Source organism: Homo sapiens, chromosome 4 (genome assembly GCF_000001405.40).
Source record: "Homo sapiens chromosome 4, GRCh38.p14 Primary Assembly".
Taxonomy (NCBI): Eukaryota; Metazoa; Chordata; class Mammalia; order Primates; family Hominidae; genus Homo; species Homo sapiens.
Genome location: NC_000004.12, coordinates 95,086,220 through 95,105,673, shown reverse-complemented (window position 1 = coordinate 95,105,673; position 19,454 = coordinate 95,086,220). Strand labels below are relative to the sequence as shown.

Genomic DNA, 19,454 nt, shown 5'->3' with positions numbered 1-19,454 from the left:
AGAATAAGTTGTTTTGCTGATTAAATGAGATATATATTTATGAATACACCCAGGTTTCCCTCCCTGTGTTACTCAGTCATGTTTCTTGTGCTAAATATACAAGGTTCTTGGAATACCCTGGTAAGCTTATATTAGATTTTGCTTCATGGGAAACTTAAAAACCTTTTTTAAAAAGCTCTCAGAAAGGAAAAAAAAAAAGCATTCAACTCAGCTTTGCGTACCTTCTGGCTAATGAAGCCTCAAATGGTTGCTCAGATATTCTACCTGGGCTCTAAACCTAGCAGTCCACCTTTCTATTTAAGTCCACGCCCTCTCTTGAAGCTTAAGGCACACTCTGCTTCTCTGACATTTTAACTCGAGGGCTGTGCTCTTCTAGATAGCTGACCCACTTCTCTCTTGGCACACACTGGCCTCATTAGGCTATAGCTCTTTATCCACTGTTGACCTTACCGTAAGGAGTAAATGCAGCTATAGTGATCAGAGGAATGGATGGAGCTGCATAAAGGCATTTAAGGAAGAAAAAGGCAAAATAGTTCAGTTTCAAATGTTATAAAGTATCTATAAGAACATGATTACCTATTAAAGAGTATTTTCTAGTATTTGGACAATGTCTTTCTTAGCAACTTGGGGAATCGCATGAGCTCTACCACTGCACTGCTTCCCAGAGTCAGTTTATGAATATTCCCAGCAGCTTAGGTGTTCTTTCCAAAATACTAACATCAGCATGATGAATGCTTGAAACAAACAAACAAACAAACAAACAAAATCACACGCATTTGACAGCCTCTGATGTTTAACTAATTGTGGGGACCAGGTCTTTTGAAAGAAAATAATTGGCATTTGCACCTTTACCAGGAGCCTGGGATCTGAGGTCTGTGTTCATGTGTATGTGAGCTGTCTGGAGGGATCAAAAAGAAGCTTAGAACATTGTTTCAGGGTGAAACACAATTCAATATTTCTCTAATACAAGCACAGCTCTAAGAGTTTACGATAGTGTTAGGCATTGTTCTCTAAAATGTGTTCTTTGAAACACTAGCCTACAGTTGCATAGTTGAAAAAGTGTGACTTTTTGTTAAAGCTAGCTTTAAATCATTTATATCACCAACCTGCAAATATTGTTGACTGAGTCTTCTGGACAATGGTGGTGGCATTTACAACGCAAGACCTTTGGACGGGGGGTGGGGGCTGTACTCTCACCATCCTCTTTCTTGGTGCCCACATTTAATTTTCCTGCACTTCGCAAAAGCATGTTATCAAGGAAGTTTGCTGAAAGAAGAAATAGTGAGAGTTAGGCATCTGTGGGGTAGACTACCCCAGTCTTCTGTTCAAACGAAAACATGAGATTACATTTTAAAATGAAGTATTCAAGATACTTAAAGATTTAAACAGAAAAACAGACATTTTGGTATTTTGATTAAAATCATGTCTTTTACCTAGTATACACCTCATACAGAATAAAGAAAGACCCATAATCCTTTCAGGAGGATATTTTATGTATTAAATTGTAACAGCTATATTTAATACAGTGCAAGGAGCTCAATGAGACATTATATAGACAACCTCTACTATATCTGGTAATTCCATGGGTAAACACTATCATCCTCATTTCTCAGATGAGAAAATTAAGACTCAAAGTTTAAGAGATCTGCACACAGATAATGGATAGACTATAGACCCAGCATTTAAACTCAAATTGTTTCAGCTTTAAAACTGTCTATCTACCATATCACAGAGTCTCTCTACTTTAGGTACTATTATGTATATTATGTACTTCTTTTTAAAGAAATTATGAGAAATATTTAATCTGTAAAATTGGGTAAGAAGACAAAAACTTAGTTAATATCAAGACACATTTCAAAAGATACATCTTCCCCATCAGCATGGGGAAATGCAAAATGCCTACCTATTACTGTAGTGATATTTCTACCATCTTTGATAGAAGGCACCATGGTAGACATGATCTCTTAGAAAGAGATATTCTGGGTTCAACATTAGGCTTTACTATTTACCAAGTTAGTTGTCCTTAGATAACTTTATAAATAATCTTGTGACTCATGTTCTTATCCTTAAAATGGAGATAATTATAGACACCAAACCTCATGTCAAGAGCTTAGAATGTTTATGTTACACAGAAGAGGGCATGCATTAATTATTACCTATTTTGTTTCAGGCGTTGTGGTAAGAGCTCTTATACATGCCATGTAACTGCATAAATTGTCACCGTGAGCAGTTTTCAATTTAAAATCTCTCTCATAACACATTTAGCTTATCTATAGTGAAATCTAAGATCAACAAAAATATTAAAAAATTGCTGGGTTAAAAAATTGAAATTTTAGGTCAGAAGTATAAGATATGCCACATATTTGTTATATTTTTAAACCAAAAATGAAGGCCTGCAGGTAATGGTTCCATCAGAGAATTAGAAGTCTATTTTTTTTAATCTGTGATAATTTTTCCTGACCTTCTGCATGTATAACGAATTATTCAAATTCTTACAGAAAAAAATAGTTGAAAGAAAAAGCAATAAAATATGTTGTCAATATATCAGAATTTTCTCTCTATTAACTATAATATTTCATTAGATTATTCAAATTTATAAAAGATGTGCATCTAACTTTCTCAAACAGTTTCCTGTAAATTTTGTCCAGAAAAAAAAAATGTTGATTGCAGTGGGCACCTGTGGCATATGAGAAGATTGTCGTATGCAGAATCCCACCCCAGCCACAGTGATTTTGATTCTGTAGGTCAGAGGCGAGCCAGGAAATGTGCATATTCAACAAGATCTCATGTAATTCTGAAACAAATTACTTGTAGACTCCACTTAGAAAAACCCTAGATTAAGCAAATAATATGTAATCCAACCACACAATTACTCCCAATACATGTATTATTTCTATATAGTATGCTCGTCCTTAGGTTAAATTCCCAAATAAAGTGAGGTTAAATAGTTCACGTCACTGCCTTATCTTGAAAGCCATTTGTTCCAAGTTTGTCCACATGGGAGTGCAGCACCGCTTGCTATGCCAGGGTAGAGTGTGTAGGTGTACCTATATCTCACCCTGTCATGGTAAGCTCCTTCTTTCTAAACCTGGTTCTCAATGTTACTGCCTTTATGACCTGAGTCACCTCAGTAGACCAAGTAATAAAAATAGAGTATTTAAAATTTATTACTTCCTGCTTCCTTTCATACCAGACCCTTTATTTTTGATGCTTTAAAACACAATAATAAAAATTCATTTATGATGCAAATGTCTACTACCAAATATGTATTGGGTGCCCTCCCATTTTCCAGGCACAGCCTGTTTAACTAGGATGAATTAAACACACACAGAATTTACCAGCTGGTGGGAAAAGCTGTTAAATGGAACACTGACACCAAATGGTCTAAAGTAGAAAAGAAAATATCCTCATGTGATTGGAAGTAAGATGCTATTTTCTAAGAAACATTTTAAGAGACAATTCATGATTTTGTCACATTGTGAATTTATTTAAAGAGTGGTATAAAATTTGTCTAGAAGAAGTGGTATAAAATTTGGTTCTTCACAATATTGCTTATAACAACTCATATTTACAACACTAGAGGATTAGGTATATTTGTAAAATGGGATTCCTATATAGCCATTAAAATGCTGATGCAGAAGTATATTTACTGACAAGAAAAAATGTTATAGTATAATTTTTGGTTTTACTTACAGGGTATTCTAGTTATTAAATCCCACTATAATAAGAGAAAAAGGGGCTAAGAAAATGAGCCTACAATATGAGATCAAGGGAGGAGACACTAAAATAAAAGCCTGAAAAGCAGAAAGACAGGCAGTCACTTGTCTACAGGATCAAAATTGCTGTGGCTCAAGGTCGGATTCTGCATATGACAATCTTCTCATATGCCACAGGTGCCCACTGCAATCAACATTTTTTTTTCTGGACAAAATTTACAGGAAACTGTAGGAGAAAGTTAGATGCACATCTTGTATAAATTTTGAATAATCTAATGAAATATTAGAGTTAATAATTAGAGAGTAAATTCTGATATATTGAATTGATAATAAAGCTACAAAAGCTGATTTTTAAGCCAAATGTGGGGGGAAAGCTAAGAAGCAAAGCTTTACTGCTTAACACCAAAAAGGCTCCAGAAACGGTATCAAAGGTACTTCTAAAAGTACTTCTAAAAGGGGGAAGGGGATATTAAAATAGCATGAGGCTGAAAATATACATACAGTAATTAGAACTTCAGATATCCTTTCCTATTCCCTACACGCTAGCAGTATTCTTTCCTACCCCTGCAGGAGATTAGAAGGGTAAAAGCAACACACATATCACTGAGATGCCTTCTTTACTTTTCTATTTTACCATCAAGGCCAAGGACTGTAGGACACCAAGCACAGAAGAGGGCAGGAGTACCATCTTACTGCAAACATTCAGTGAACATTCACACTGGATGTTGCCTCCTCCAGTTCACCTTCCCCACATGGCTTCCAGAACTCAATGCAGCCTGGTACGCGCCTTCTTTACTGGGTAATTTGACCAGGTCAAGAATAAAGAGCATAAAGATAGTAATCTTGTGAGTTTCTCAGTGAAACAGCTCTGCAATGTTATCCTACATGAGGCCCACTGGTGACAACAGAGCTTCCAGTCAGTTCTTCTGTGATCCATTCTCATACACATGAGCCACTAATTTAGGGTAAATAGGTATTTGAAAAAACCTCAAAGACTGAGAATAAAACAAACACTACTTGGAAGAAGTAGATTATATTAAAGAAAGTAAAGACTTTAAAAAATTATTATTAATACTCTCATCTTACAAAAATACATTATATCATGAAACAAGAACACGTTGCTATAAAAAGAGAATAACAAGTAAAGAACTTTAAAAATATAATTGCATAAATGAAAATCCCAGCAGGTGAGCTGAAAGATAAAGATTAGGAAATCTACAACACAGTACAAAATACAAAGATGGAAAAGTAACTTAGAGCATGAATCCAGATTTAACATCTGAATAATATTAGCTCTAGAAAGAGAGACTTGAGAAAACAGAGGAAAGAAAATCATCAAATAATCATGCACAATTTTCATAATGAAAACTCATGAGTTCCTAATTTGAAAGAACCCATATAGCCCATGTGAATAGATCCACACCACATCACTGTAAAATTTTGTAACACTGTAGACAAACAGACACCCTAATTTTTTTTATAGAGAGGAAAAGTGAGGGAGAGAAAGAGAAAAGACATAAAAAATAAGTATGGCATTGAACTTTGTTGAGAAAAACTAGAAACTAGAATAAAATAGAACAATGCCTTCAAAAGTCTGAGGGAAAAATTTTCCAAATCAGAAATAAATACCTGGGCAAATTAAGAGTGAGGGCAGGGGAAAAAAAGCATTTTAATATTTTCTGAGTCTCAAAAATTTACCTCCCATGTATCTTTCTCAGAAAGTTATTGGAGGAGATATTCCTTCCAAATGAAGGTATAAACAAGAAAAAAGATGGAATAGGTACCTGCTAATGGTAGATCCATCCCAAGAGAAGACGAAGCTTACCTCCAAGATAATGCTAAATGTGGATAATAAGATGAGACATTGCATAGGACTTCAGGAGCAAGCAGGCCTCATTGAAGGCAGGTCAAAAGATGTTGGAAGAGAGAACTCTAAGATGTTGAAATTAATAAAACGACTTATGTATTTTAAATTTAAACTGGGAGTTTGGAAACGCATTTGTAATGAGAACACAGGGGACTAAGTAACCAAATATTTAAACTCTTATACAGACGAGAGATGGGAATATGTACGTATGTAGTAGGAGCAGGGATGAGAAAAAATAACTAAATCCTCATCTTTGATAGTGGAAAGTCAAAGGTAATGCCTAAAATTGAATAATAAAGAAAGAGTAGTACAGTTATTTATTTAGAGATACAGATGAAAATGCCAAAACAACGAAAAGAGGTATAGGTGTAGTTGCTACGCGGAAAGGAGAATTTGGGAGGATGTTTGTTAAAAAATAATAAATAAATCTCTTTCAACTATGTAAAAGCAAACCTACTGTAACGTGTGTGTGCGTGTGTGTGCGTGTGCGCGCGTGAAACAGAGAGAGATGTATAGAAGGATTCACATCACCATATAAGCACTGATGAAATACATGAAAATCCTGCATCTTTTAGAAAAATGTGATTATCTCTGTCAGGGAATACTGAATTTTATATTATCAAATTTTTACAATCTACTTTCAAAGGGGCCATAATTCCTCTTTCTACATTCCTGTTTCTATATCTGCATGGATCTATGGAGTAGCAAATTAGGACAGATAATAGTTGGAGCTATTTAAATGCATTTACAAATTCCTTGTCCATTCAATATAAGGAAGTAATTAGTCACATATCCTGATGTGGAATAAAGCACATCAATGAACAATGAAGGAATGGGACACCAAAAGAGAATCGAGCCAAGAAGGAACTTCTCTAGCTAATCTTCATGATGGTATTCCCCTCTGGATCAATGACTACGGCTTGGTAGTTAACACTAAATCCACTGATGGCTCACCATGTTTTCATGTGTTATGTTTACACGTGTGCTTAAATTGTTGGTAAATCTACATTCTATAATCTACAATCTGCACAAGTCACAATATTTCCAATCACCTGATAACTTTAAAATAATTGATGGCCGGGTGCGGTGGCTAATGCCTGTAATCCCAGCGCTTTGGGAGGCTGAGGCAGGCAGATCACGAGGTCAGGGGATGCAGACCATCCTGGCTAACACGGTGAAACCACGTCTCTACTAAAAATACAAAAAATTAGTCGGGCATGGTAGCGGGCACCTGTAGTCCCAGCTACTCGGGAGTCTGAGGCAGGAGAATGGTGTGAACCTGGGAGGTGGAGCTTGCAGTGAGCCCAGATCGCGCCACTGCACTCCAGCCTGGGTGACAGAATGAGACTCTGTCTCAAAAATAAATAAATAAATACTTGATAATGTGTAAGTTAACAGATATAAGGCAAGGCGGAAGAGAAGCAGCAGCAGAATGAACCTGGGGAGACTCACCTTAAACGCTAAGAAAACCATGAAAAAGAAAGATGGTAAGATGCACATGTACCCTAAAACTTAAAGTATAATAAAAATAAATAAATAAGTAAAAATAAAAGCCACAAAAAAAAAGATCTTCATGTGTACTCCACATTTGAGAAAAGGGCCAATGAGAAACTGCACTGTTTTATCTAACTTTATAATTATGCAAAGGTATTTATACAAGGATCACTTTAATATCAAGTCATACTGAAGTTGTACAAAATCCAGCCTCACAGACACAAGTCAGGCATTCTGGATCATAAACAAGACAGAACATATCAGCTATGACATTAAAAAGGTAATTACATGCATATATAGAAATAATCATTTTATGAAAATATGAATTTGCCTGGTAATTATGATGCTGAAATAATAAATAGAAGAAAAGACAAATGACATGTATTCATAATAAATGTAAACATCAAGATGACTAACAAACATCCAGTGGATTAGCAATAATGAAGATATATCCCAAATATCAGATATCTGATTAAAATAACATATAAGAATGTACTTTCTCACATTTTATTATATTAGTATCCTAATATACTAGGCAGCCATCAAAAGAGATAAAAGATACATTTAGTTGACTCATATAAATATTTATTAATGAAATCCTCATTTTACTTGATTTTGTTTTAGTTTTATAAAAAATGATAACCCTTGAAAACAACTGGAAGGTATCTAACCATTAAAAAAATTAAATGTAATTTAGTACATTCTGTTTACTAAATCAATAGAGTAAAATCTACAAAAAAGTTTTTCACCAAAGAAAGTCAGGCTGGGCGCGGTGGCTTACACTTGTAATCCCAGCACTTTAGGAGGTTGAGGAGGTCGGATCATGAGGTCAAGAGATGGAGACCATCCTGGCCAACATGGTGAGACCCTGTCTCTACTAAAAATACAAAAATTAGCTGGGCATGGTGGCACATGCCTGTAGTCCCAGCTACTTGGGAGGCTGAGGCAGGAGAATCACTTGAACCCAGGAGGTGGAGGTTGCAGTGAGCTGAGATCACACCACTGCACTCCAGCCTGGCGACAGATCGAGACTCTGTCTCAACAAAAAAAAGAAAGAAAGAAAGAAAGTCAAATAGTGAATAGTTTCTAGTTAATTGTAAAGCAAATGTCAACAAAATTGATTATTTCTTCCCAAATGCATTTTAAATAATTATAGGCTTTCAATAAATATTTAAAAACAGAATCATGAATAAACCTGACAGAAAATATAAAGAAAAAAACAGAGAAAAATTACCCTTTCAGGAAATTTCTCAGGAATAAATACTATATCAAATAAGTCACTCGTTAAGAGCCCATTCCATTTTGCCATTTTTTTCTTTTATTCCTTTGTCCCTCCCTCCCCTCTCTTCTCTCTTCTTCCCTCTTTCTCTAATAACTGATCTTTAAAACAGTGTAAATCCAGACACTACACATGTGTGGTTCACTTAGCTTGTGACGTATAGTTACATATATATTAGTTATATATAAATTAATATATAAATTATAGTTTTATATATAACTATATGTAAATATATATAACTATATGTAAATATATAACTATATACAGTTATGTATATAACTATATTATATAAACTATATATAATATACAATTTATATCATATACTATATATTAAACTATATAACTATATATAATAAAGTTATATAACTTTAGTTACATATATTTAATTTGATTTAATATATATTTAAATTTAATTGAATATATATGTTTAAATTAAATATATATATAACTATAGTTATATATTTATATACCTATATATTTATATATAAATATAAATATATTTATATTTATATATTCTATATATAGATATATAGTTATATATAACTATACATAGTTATATATAACTATATATAGTTATATATAACTATATATAGTTATATATGCCTCTATATAATTATATAGTTATATATATAGTTTAGTTTACTAACTAAATTATCATGATAATAAAAAGTAAGGCTTTTGGAAGCCACTCTAAAATTGGTTCTCATTTTTCAGAGGATCGTTGGATTTTTGGCGTGCAAATAAACAATAGAATTATTTTCACAGGATGTTTGTGTGTTACTGAATCACGACTAAATTATATTCCTTATGATTCTTATAAGGAATAATACAAAAATAGAATATTAAGAATATTTCTTTAGAAATAGATTTACAGATTTTTCAGGCAAATCAATCAAATTTCATGAAATTACCTAACTATCAGAATGCAATATTGTGACTTCCATTCAATTACAAGGACTAAAAAGGAAGTTATTTTTCTTGAATATCCTGAATATCTTTTCTGGAAAATATATTGCAGTTATATACATGTTTTTAGCTATGTACATGTTTTCTATGGAATCTCTTGTAGTAGGAAATAAGGTAGAGTTATAATTTCTTTAAAGTATTTAATTGAAAACAGTGGACAATAATGAGCTGGAAGCCTCATATAAACACTGTAAAATAACTTCTTTAATGTATATAACTTAATCAGTTCCTTATTTTAAAAATATTTCTATATTATTTTATATTATTATATACTCATATACGTGATTTTTGCAGAAAAAACAAAATGCAGAACAAAAGTAAAATGTAAAAAAAATTTCATACTATTACATATCAAGAGTACAATGTTACAAAAATTAAATTTTATCTTCAAAATTAATCCATTACATCCTAAAGTGTGTTTTAACTGTATTTAGTTTTAGTAATATTCTTATGAGTTCAAAAATATCATAAATAAAAAATTTTTAATTTGTGATATAAAGGACTGTTTTATGTCATAGTCAAAAGGGTATCAAAATCCACTGCCACATTTAAATGCAGAGAGAAAAATCTGTATGAACAGTAGAGAAAATTCAAGTAATATTAAATTCAATATGTAATGCACTTAGAAATGGATATGAGACTTTAAAATTCATTAAAAAGTGACATATAATCATTTTGTGTCATACAAGGTCTACTAATAATCTATCTTCCTTTATCTTTTTCATTTTTAAACTCTTTGAATATCACAAAACTTAACCAAATGTTGATTCTCATCACTGTTCTTCACCTTCTACACCAGAGGGCAGGCAGGGGCAAGAAGAGAAATTGAAATTCATATTACACAAGTTTGCACTTTAAATGTCCAGGGTAAAGAGGTTAGTGGAAGAAAAATTTTAAAGTACTGAACTGGCTAGCAACAACTTTGGGAATGACCCATCCTACAGCTATTTGTACCGTTATGATAACAAATAATGCAAATCAATGCCCATTTTCTTTCTTAACCAAAACTAGTTTAAATACTCACAGTTTTTTTAAGAGTCTATTTCACACAGGAATAAAACTCTGATTAGAGCTTTAAAACAATATTAATTTTTAAAATAACTTTGTGACATCAGATAGTTTAATCGCTAATTTTTATTTTCAACACTTAAACCTTGAATCATTTAACTCAATTCACTGTCTAAATTTTTCAACTCTAAAGGCCTGAGTTTCATTTTCATCACCTAACCATTTTTCCTTATACTAAAGTACTTTCAAATAAATCATTTTCTATGCTCTTTGCAGCAAAAAATTTAGGAAAAAAAAATTATATATATATACACTAAATAATTAATAAAAAGTTGGGACATATGCCTAAACTTTTCTGGAAAGTAACAAAATATAAATACAATTTTTATTAAAAAATACCAGAGCAAAATCATATGTAGGGAAAGAACAGATTTTCTAATATTAACTGTGATGTTACCTACACAGGAATCTTTCTCCTTCAACAGACAGAAATCAGATAAAAGATAAGGGAAGATGTTGGTGCTAAATTTCTGGACATGCTATGCAGGAGTGAAATGTCAGATGACAAAGCAATATCAGGTATGGTCACTGAGCAGTGGAGCTAGACTTGATGACGATGTAGGGTAAAATAGACAAATGGGTTCAAACTCGAGCTCAGCTACTTAAATGGCTTAGCAAGTGACTTAACTAACTTCCTTATAGAAGACGTGGAGAGTAGCAGTACTCACTGGTTGCAGTGGGGTGGAGGAGAAATCCACATAAAGCATCAACTATGGTTCTTTGCACATAGTAATTGTCAATAATAATAAATTGTTGTTTTATGTGCTGCTGACTCTTACTATTATTCAGTTTTCTCTTCCTTTTCCCTACTCCTTTATCTCCCGTTTCTATTTGTCTTCCTTTCCTTTTCTCCCCTATTATCTTTTCCCCTTCCTGGCTCTCCTCTTCCTCAATTCCTCTTTCTTTTGCTTCATTTTACTGCCTTTTACTTTTCCTTCCTTTCTAGATTAATCACGGTGAGCAAAGAGTCTATAAAAATATAAGGTTTTCAGCTTAAGAAACATACTGAAAGTTTGTTCAAGGATGACTAAAATATTCTTATTTTCTTTCATCTCTTGGTACATTGATTCATTTAGCAAATAATCATTAAATCCATTTACATAACACAATGACCCAGAGTACTTGACGGTGTCCTCAATAAAATAACAATCTTGCTTGTAAGACAAATCAGCTACACGTGGAACACTGTGAGACAAATCAACTACATATGGAAAGCCGAAATACATATAGGAAAACAATAAAAGAGATGTCACAATGCCACATAATTGCCAAATTAAGTCCTAGACAGGAGTGCATAAGAGGGAAGATTACTTTGTGTGTGGCAGTAATCAACCAGTATCTTTTATGGAAACCATAACCACCAAAACCAGGGATATTGCCAGTTTTTAATTTCAGCCACTCATGGTCAACACTAATGAGTAGGTTAAGAGACACACTAATTTTAAATATAACTGCTGGCTCTTTCTAGAAACCAGGGCTTCATAAAATATTTGTGAGTGTTTCTATTCACTGACATTGTTTCTCTTTTCACCATACTCACACATCGACATTACACATCACCCGGGTTATGATGGATAATCATGTTTTCAACATTTTCACATCAGAAAAACCCTGCCAAGAGACCTATAAAAGCTTCAATCACTCAAACATTTTATGTGATACCAGACTATGACATAAAAAAACATAAGAAGAGTAAATATGACATACAAGTCAACAGACAACACCAGACTATGACATAAAAAAATCATAAGAAGAGTAAATATGACATACAAGTCAACAGACAACACAAACATTTATATTCATTTGTTTTCCAGGTAATTGACATAGAATTATAAACCTCAGCAGACATAGAATTATAAACCTCAGCAGGAATAGTAATTATGATAGTAATAAAAATTCTTTGGACATCATAATTACACTCTTTAAATTTAAAACAATAGCTAGCCTTTCCCTTAGGTTTTACTCTGCTTTTGAATTTAGAGAAACTCAATCAAAATGTTTATATAAATTAAAAACCTTTGAAAAATCTCTAAAACACAACTTGTTTATAAGTATTTTTAATAAAAGCAACAATATAAGAACAAAATTAACTTGACAAGCAAGTAACCATGATTTAAAAATATGCAACATCAAACTGAAGCCACTGTCACAAAATAGCATAATCTCAGCCGATAGAATGATTAAAAATTAAAAATGACTTTGTATTTTAAAATATTTAATGTGTCAATTCAGCTCCACATTGTTAGAAAAGAAACTGAACCGTGGTCTCTTTGACAATAATGTCAGAGTCAACTAGAACTTGGCAGATTTCCAAGCCAGGAGCTATGGTTTTATTCAGCAGTTTCTATGAATGCTCTGCTTCACAGAGTTCCGAAGCTAATCAAAGTAGATGTTCAACTTGCCTCCACACCAAAAATTACTCTGCAGCTTTGCAAAGCACTCCCAAGACAGCCTAGTGTATAAAACTATTTTATAGATGCATATATGTAAAGGGAAGTGACAATGAAGTCAGACAAACCAGAAACCAAATCACCGTGTTTGTGCTATTCTTTTTCCCCAAAGAAAAAACCTGGAAAACATTTAGAACCTCTCTGCTCCTAATCCTTACCATACCCTCTAATAGGAAAACTGTTAAAGGTAACCTTAGCTATTACTGACTTTAAAATATTCAAATATATTGCTAGTTCAAATATTTAAATATTTGAGGTATAAAATATAGTATATATATTTCAAGCTAAACACTATTATCAACTATTATCATCACCAATGAGTTTAAAGGTCTATCTCTGGTGAAACAATATGGAATAATGATCACCAGGAATAAAATGAATAAGAATGCAATGTAAACATTAGAAAGCCATCATAGTTTTAAGAGAACAAACTGTAAACCAAAGAAAACTGTTTAAAATCTGCAGTGCCACCCATGTGCTTTTACACTTATCTGTTGTGCGTCACAGAAAAATTTTCTAAGATAGCTACCAAAAATGATATGAATTACTAAAATATACTTGCCCTCACTTCTCCAAATGTACACTTTATCATGCCAAAACAATTTATATCCTTCCTGGTAAAAAATAAATATCTTAGCAACTATATTTTTGAAACATTCATTTGATCTAACATCTAAATCATTACATTTATACTTTAAAGAATCATTTTGCATTTTTTAAAACTCATACTTGCAAGAAAGAAACCTAGACCTTTATAACCTATGAATTTAGAAGTGTATAGTTGATACATTAATAGTAAAAGAATTCACAACATCAAAAACTATAAAAAATTTAACCACAAGACCTTTATACAACCACAACACTTGATTTTAACCTTGACAGTGTTGAAAATGTGTAGGGGCAAACACGCACTCACACATAACACAAAAGTTAAAATAATACATATAAGAACATCATTAATTTAAAAGTAAGCTAAATTATACACTACCAGAAGAGTTCGGCTACATGGTATTTTCTTGCCATGTAATTTTTTTAGACAAAATTTTTGATCCCCTTGAATTAGTCTATTTCACCATCTATGCCAAAAAAGGCTAAGTTCTAACAGCTTTTATTGTGCCAGAATTGGCTTTACTCATCTTGCTTACATTTTTTGGAGGGAAAAAAAAAACAGTCTCTGTGAGATATAAAGCTTCTCCCACTACTCACTTTTGATTTCTGTACGCTTGATATATGGTTGCCAGGCTCCCTAGGATGAGAGACATGAGGAGGAGGCACAGAATTGCTAGGGGTTTCCACTAAAAAGCCCAGCACCGTAGGCAGCACTAATCCTGCACCTGTGATATGTTATTCAGCAGTTAAGAAATGCAGCCCAGACTGTGGTTGCCTAATACAGCTCAGCTGTTTTTCTCAGTAGTCCCTTTGATTATAAGCTGGCAAGAGACATTATTCCGGTCAAGCAATGAGCTATGTTCAGGACCCATGGCATATGACAGTGGAAAGGTAAAAAAGAAAAGAAACCTAGGAGTCAAAAACAAAACAAAACAAAACAAAACAAAAAAAAAAGAAAAGAAAAAAAGAAAGAAAAGAAAAAGGAAAAAGAATGAAAAAAATGTCACTGACCACAGTGTGTTATGTAACATTTCCAGATGGTTAAAAGCTACCTCTGCGTCTATGCAAGGCAGAAAAATATCTAGAATTCATCATTTAAATATCTAGAAATCTATCTTTATAATATCCTTTGACATTCAGAATGCTATTTCAATATGCAATGTCTTAAGTTTATCTTAAGAGAATCTCAATTTCACAAACCAATCAACTACACAAACATTTAGAAATCTTTCATTAAAGAGGTTTACCTTTACTAAATGTCAAATTCCTTTTAAAATTTGGAAAATTTCAAAATGTTTGGAAAACTGAAGACCAAATGAATACCATTATTTCTATCTTTTTATTAAATCTACCATATCATTTGACTTGATTCATTAAAAATTTGATATAAAATTTATATTTGAGACACAGCTATCCTATTCATCATATATGGTTAAAACAGAATGAAATATTTATTAGAGTCAAGTTAAAGCCTCTAACTAGTCCATATTGATTTAAGAGATATTTGTCATACACAAATATTAAGAAATATTTACCATACACAAATATTTCAAAGTGCTGTAAGCACTTTGGGCTCAAAGAGTTGAAGAAGAAATGGCCACTATGTTCATGAACCTTAAAATCTATTTGGAGAGTGTGGCATAAAAGTTGTCAATTTTGTTGTTGTTCTTTTGTCATAAAAGGTCTGCTGATTGTTCACTCACACCAAAGGTTCACTCTATTTCCTTTTATACTATAGATAAACATAAAATCATGTTCCTCCAAGCTAGTATCTGTGCCACTTTAAACAAATGACCTGAAATCTTATCCAAAAAACAGATACCTTTGCCTAACAGCAGATGGTTAAAAACAAACCAAAAAATTCCTTTACAAAAAGAGCTGAAATGAAGAAAATATATCAATTCAAAATGTAAATATAATTTTTATAAAATGTAACTATAATTTAAATATATATATTAAAGAACATGTTAAACATTTTAAGTTATTTTTTATTGCTGTTTATATACTAATTCCCTACTAGCCAAAAAGTATATTAAAAATTTTGTTAGAAAAAAATATGCATAGGATATGTATTAAAATCAATAGGGTCAACAAAAATTCCTGTGTACATGAGAACATTCTCTCTCAACAGAATTTGACAAACCTTATAGTTTTCCCTTGTATTCAAACACCTGGGTTAGAATACTGCATTTCAATTTCCGAGTAACACCCTGAGGCCGAATGAAAGAAGAATGGTATTCAAGAAGTGTGCTGTAAGATGTTTTACTAGTATTCCCCTAATTCTACCATTAGTCTATATCCAAAGTAAAATAAGACAGTTGAATTGGAACCTGGATATATGTAAGTCTAGAGTTCATAGAGTTTTGATAATTTATGATAAATCTTTTTTCTTGAAATTATACTTAATAGGCTGAAATACTGAACCACCATCTACTTTGCTTTGATTTGTAGGAAGAAGACTGCCAAAGGACAATCTTGTTGAATTCTGGGCAGAAACACTAAGGAGAGATCTGAATTGAAACTATGTTATTATAATAATTGTGTTATCTTCAATCTGGGCATGGCACACACAGGAACATTCTGGCCTGATGCTGCTCAAGCTCTCCCTCTTTGGATAAATAAATGGCTTCAGTTTTCAAAACATTCTCCTAAAGCACTTTTATATTCTTATTTTTTAAATTGTATAACACCCAGTATACCTCAGTGGTCCCAGTCTTTAAAAGCCTTGTTAATTTTACCTGTAAATTTTCTTTCTTTATATTCTTTTATCGAATTCATATCTTCTCATTTATGCCAGTAATGTTCTCACCCATAAACTCTACCCTAAGGTCAAAATGTTTCCTTCCTCCTCTTTTAAATAACTGTCAATATGGGCTCTCCCAATAAACAAACCACCGCCAAAAAAAGAACAACAAAAAGCCTGTATCTGGGATGCTATGTGAGAAATAATTACCCTTCACAAACCCTATCTTCAGATATTTCTGTATTTTAAGCCACACCAACATAAGGTAGATGTATTTGTGTGTGTTATGTTTTTCCACCTTGAAATATTTTTAAGAAGTTGGATATATTATCTTAAATTTCATTATCAGAGTGAGTTAAGAAATAAATACATTGTATTTAAATGACCAAAGTGATCCCAAACAATCATAATACTAATATGGGGGCAAAGGACCATGGCTATCTTAATGGCCACTTCAGTCAAAATTTTCCACATTCTAAAAGAACAAATGAGATCAAACAAAACATTTTACCAAATTGTATTCATTGGTACTTCAGTTATGAAAACTATTCCCTGTATTTACCTACAGAATCCTCTATCTTCTATGTAAAAACTCAGCAAAGAATTACAGGGTGGCAAAACTTGTCAGTTTTAACTCTCATGGTCAAGTCTGTTGATCTTCACTAGGAGTCTCATAGCTTTTTTTTTTCTTCTTTCCTCTAAAGAAAAAACTTAATGGCCTTTCAAAATGAATAGGCCCGATTTATGATAAATGATTAGTTAACAATTGAAGTTTTTTAGTTTCTTTCTTTCTTGGGAAACAAAAAATACTCACTTTTATTATTAAGCCCATAATATTTGGTAGTAATACAAATATTTCCTAGTGGCTCCCATTCTCTAGCAGCAAGTCAAACAGCCTCAAGAGAAAAGTATTAAAATTGTGCTATTATGACATAGCAGATAATCTGGAATAAAACAAATCCCTCTAGGATCATTATATCCTAAAAGTTCTTTGCCCCAGTCTTAGAACATGGCACTTTTGAGCATGCTAAAATCATGATAAGGACATATTTCTCTTCTCATTTCACACCAATAAAGGAGGAAAAAAGCCTTGTCCTATAGGCACCATCAAAATAATCTACCCACCCCCAACTATGCCAGGCTCCTGTCTCTGTGGAGTTCAGTGGCTCCTCACTAGCAGGAAAGTATAAGCAGAGAGACCATTAGTTATGACATGGAGACTCTAGCTGATAATGCTGACTCACTTCAGGAGCTATTATACTATAAACAGTGTGCTGAAAGCCATTTATCTGCATTTTAGGATAAACAGCAGAAAAGTCTCAATTAAATAGATTGCAAGAAATAAGCTGCTGATGTCAAACCAAGTGAAGCTTACTTTTGAAAAGAAAAATCTGTGAATGTAATAAAATCAATATGGGACATCAGGGAAGTTAAAACAGAAAATTCAACATTTTATTTTATAATATAATTATAAACGTAACTTTCAAATTTCATAAGATCGGCTTATTTATCAAAGTTATTGCACACTACTTTGAAGTTCAAAGTAAATTTACTGAAACTTGACATTCTCTTAAGAAACAACATTTATGGTACTACTGGCACTGAGCCAATGTATGCTATCAAGGAAAGCTTTATCTGTCACTGAGCAAAAGGTGAAGTTCAATTAGGTCAGTTTTATCACTTCTTTTCCTACACACAAACTATGAGGAGAGATCATTTCTTTTCTTTCTTTTATTTATTTATTTTTTTTGAGACAGGGTCCCACTCTGTTGCCCAGGTTAGAGTACAGTGACACAATCACAGCTAACTGCAGCCTCAATCTCCCGTGCTTAAGTGATCCTCCCACCTCAGCTTCCCTTAGCAGCTGGGACCACAGGCATGCACCACCAAGCCTGGCTAATTTTTCTATTTTTTGTAGAGACGGCATTTCGCCATGTTGTCCAGGCAGGTCTTGAACTCCTGGACTCAAGCAGTTCACCTGCCTTGGCCTCCCAAAGTTCTGGGATTACGGGTGTGAGCCACTGCACCTGGCTGAGAGGTAATTTCTAAATGACTCCCTTCAAGAAGAAAACACGAGTGCTATTTTACATCTAACTGTAAACACACACACACACACATCTATCTCTAGCATGTTAAAATGCTTCAAGGAAAACACTATAAAATTAAATATAATTTATCATGGAACCATAGAGGCTTTATTCCACAATTGATTAGAAGGATATGAGACAAAGTTCGTGACCAGCCTGGCCAACATGGCCAAACCCTGTCTCCACTAAAAATACAAAAATTAGCCAGGTGTGGTGGCACACACCTGTAATCCCAGCTACTAGAGAGGCTGAGGCAGGAGAATCACTTGAGCCTGGAGGCGGAGGCTGAAGTGAGTGGAAATTGTGCCGCTGAAGTGAGTGGAAATTGTGCCACTGCACTCCAGCCTGGGTGACAGAGTGAGACTCTGTCTCAAAAAAAAAAAAAAAAAAAAAAAAGAAGGATATGAGACACACCAAGGCCTTTACTCCAAGGACCACATATAGGTAAAACACAACATTTAGAATTTATTTTTCCTACTTGCCAGAAAACAAATCAAAATCTTCTCTCTTTCATATTTCCAAATGTCAAAAGCTTTTCAAAACTATTTTGAGGTTAGCAAAGAGAACACACAGGTGTGTGTTATGTCAACTACTGAAAGCAAATAAAGGTTAGCCTGGAATCTGATCTCTCTACCGACACATTCTTGTGGGCATTACAAATGCTCCCTGAAGGAATATTACACTAATGCTGACTAATTTTTTAAAACATCCCAAATCTCATTAGATCTATTCCTTAGCAGTATTGTTCAAAGGCATGGCCTCTACTAACATCAAACTCATTGCCACTTCTTAGTAAACCTTTAATGTTTTCTCCAGTATCACCTCCTCTGTTCTGTTTCACTGACAATACAACAGGTTGAACAACAATAAAATATTCAATATCAACACATGTAAGTTTTTGTCATGTCATGAAAACTATGACAGCCCACAAACAATTAAATGTTAGGTTATCAGTAACAAATGCTTAAGAATACTGGTTCGCATTAATGGCTATGGGTCTTAAGAAAAACATTACATATTTTGACTGCTGTGTAACAAGCCTGGCACAGAAAGATGGCAACGGTACTTTCATATCTGAAATTACCAGTGTTCAAGCTAAAAATTGTATTTGCCATTCAAAACCTCTATTAAACACAAACAGCAACGAACATGACATGTTCTTAATTTTTAAAAAA

At 33.2% G+C, this 19,454-nt stretch overlaps 1 protein-coding gene across 12 annotated transcripts in view; it reads right to left on the bottom strand.

Annotated features, from left to right (window-relative positions):
• The window catches only part of BMPR1B (bone morphogenetic protein receptor type 1B), a 400,496-nt gene that overhangs the window by 52,777 nt on the left and 328,265 nt on the right, over positions 1 to 19,454 (bottom strand). For 10 of the 12 annotated variants that reach the window (XM_017008559.2, XM_047416093.1, XM_047416091.1 and 7 more), the window contains one exon: positions 1,107 to 1,266. In XM_017008559.2, the coding sequence (XP_016864048.1) occupies positions 1,107 to 1,249 (143 nt within the window). In that variant the 5' untranslated portion in view covers positions 1,250 to 1,266. Of the gene's footprint in view, positions 1 to 1,106; positions 1,267 to 2,156; positions 4,730 to 14,046; positions 14,184 to 19,454 lie in introns of those variants that run through there. The other 2 variants (NM_001256794.1, XM_047416095.1) reach the window with 2 other exon arrangements.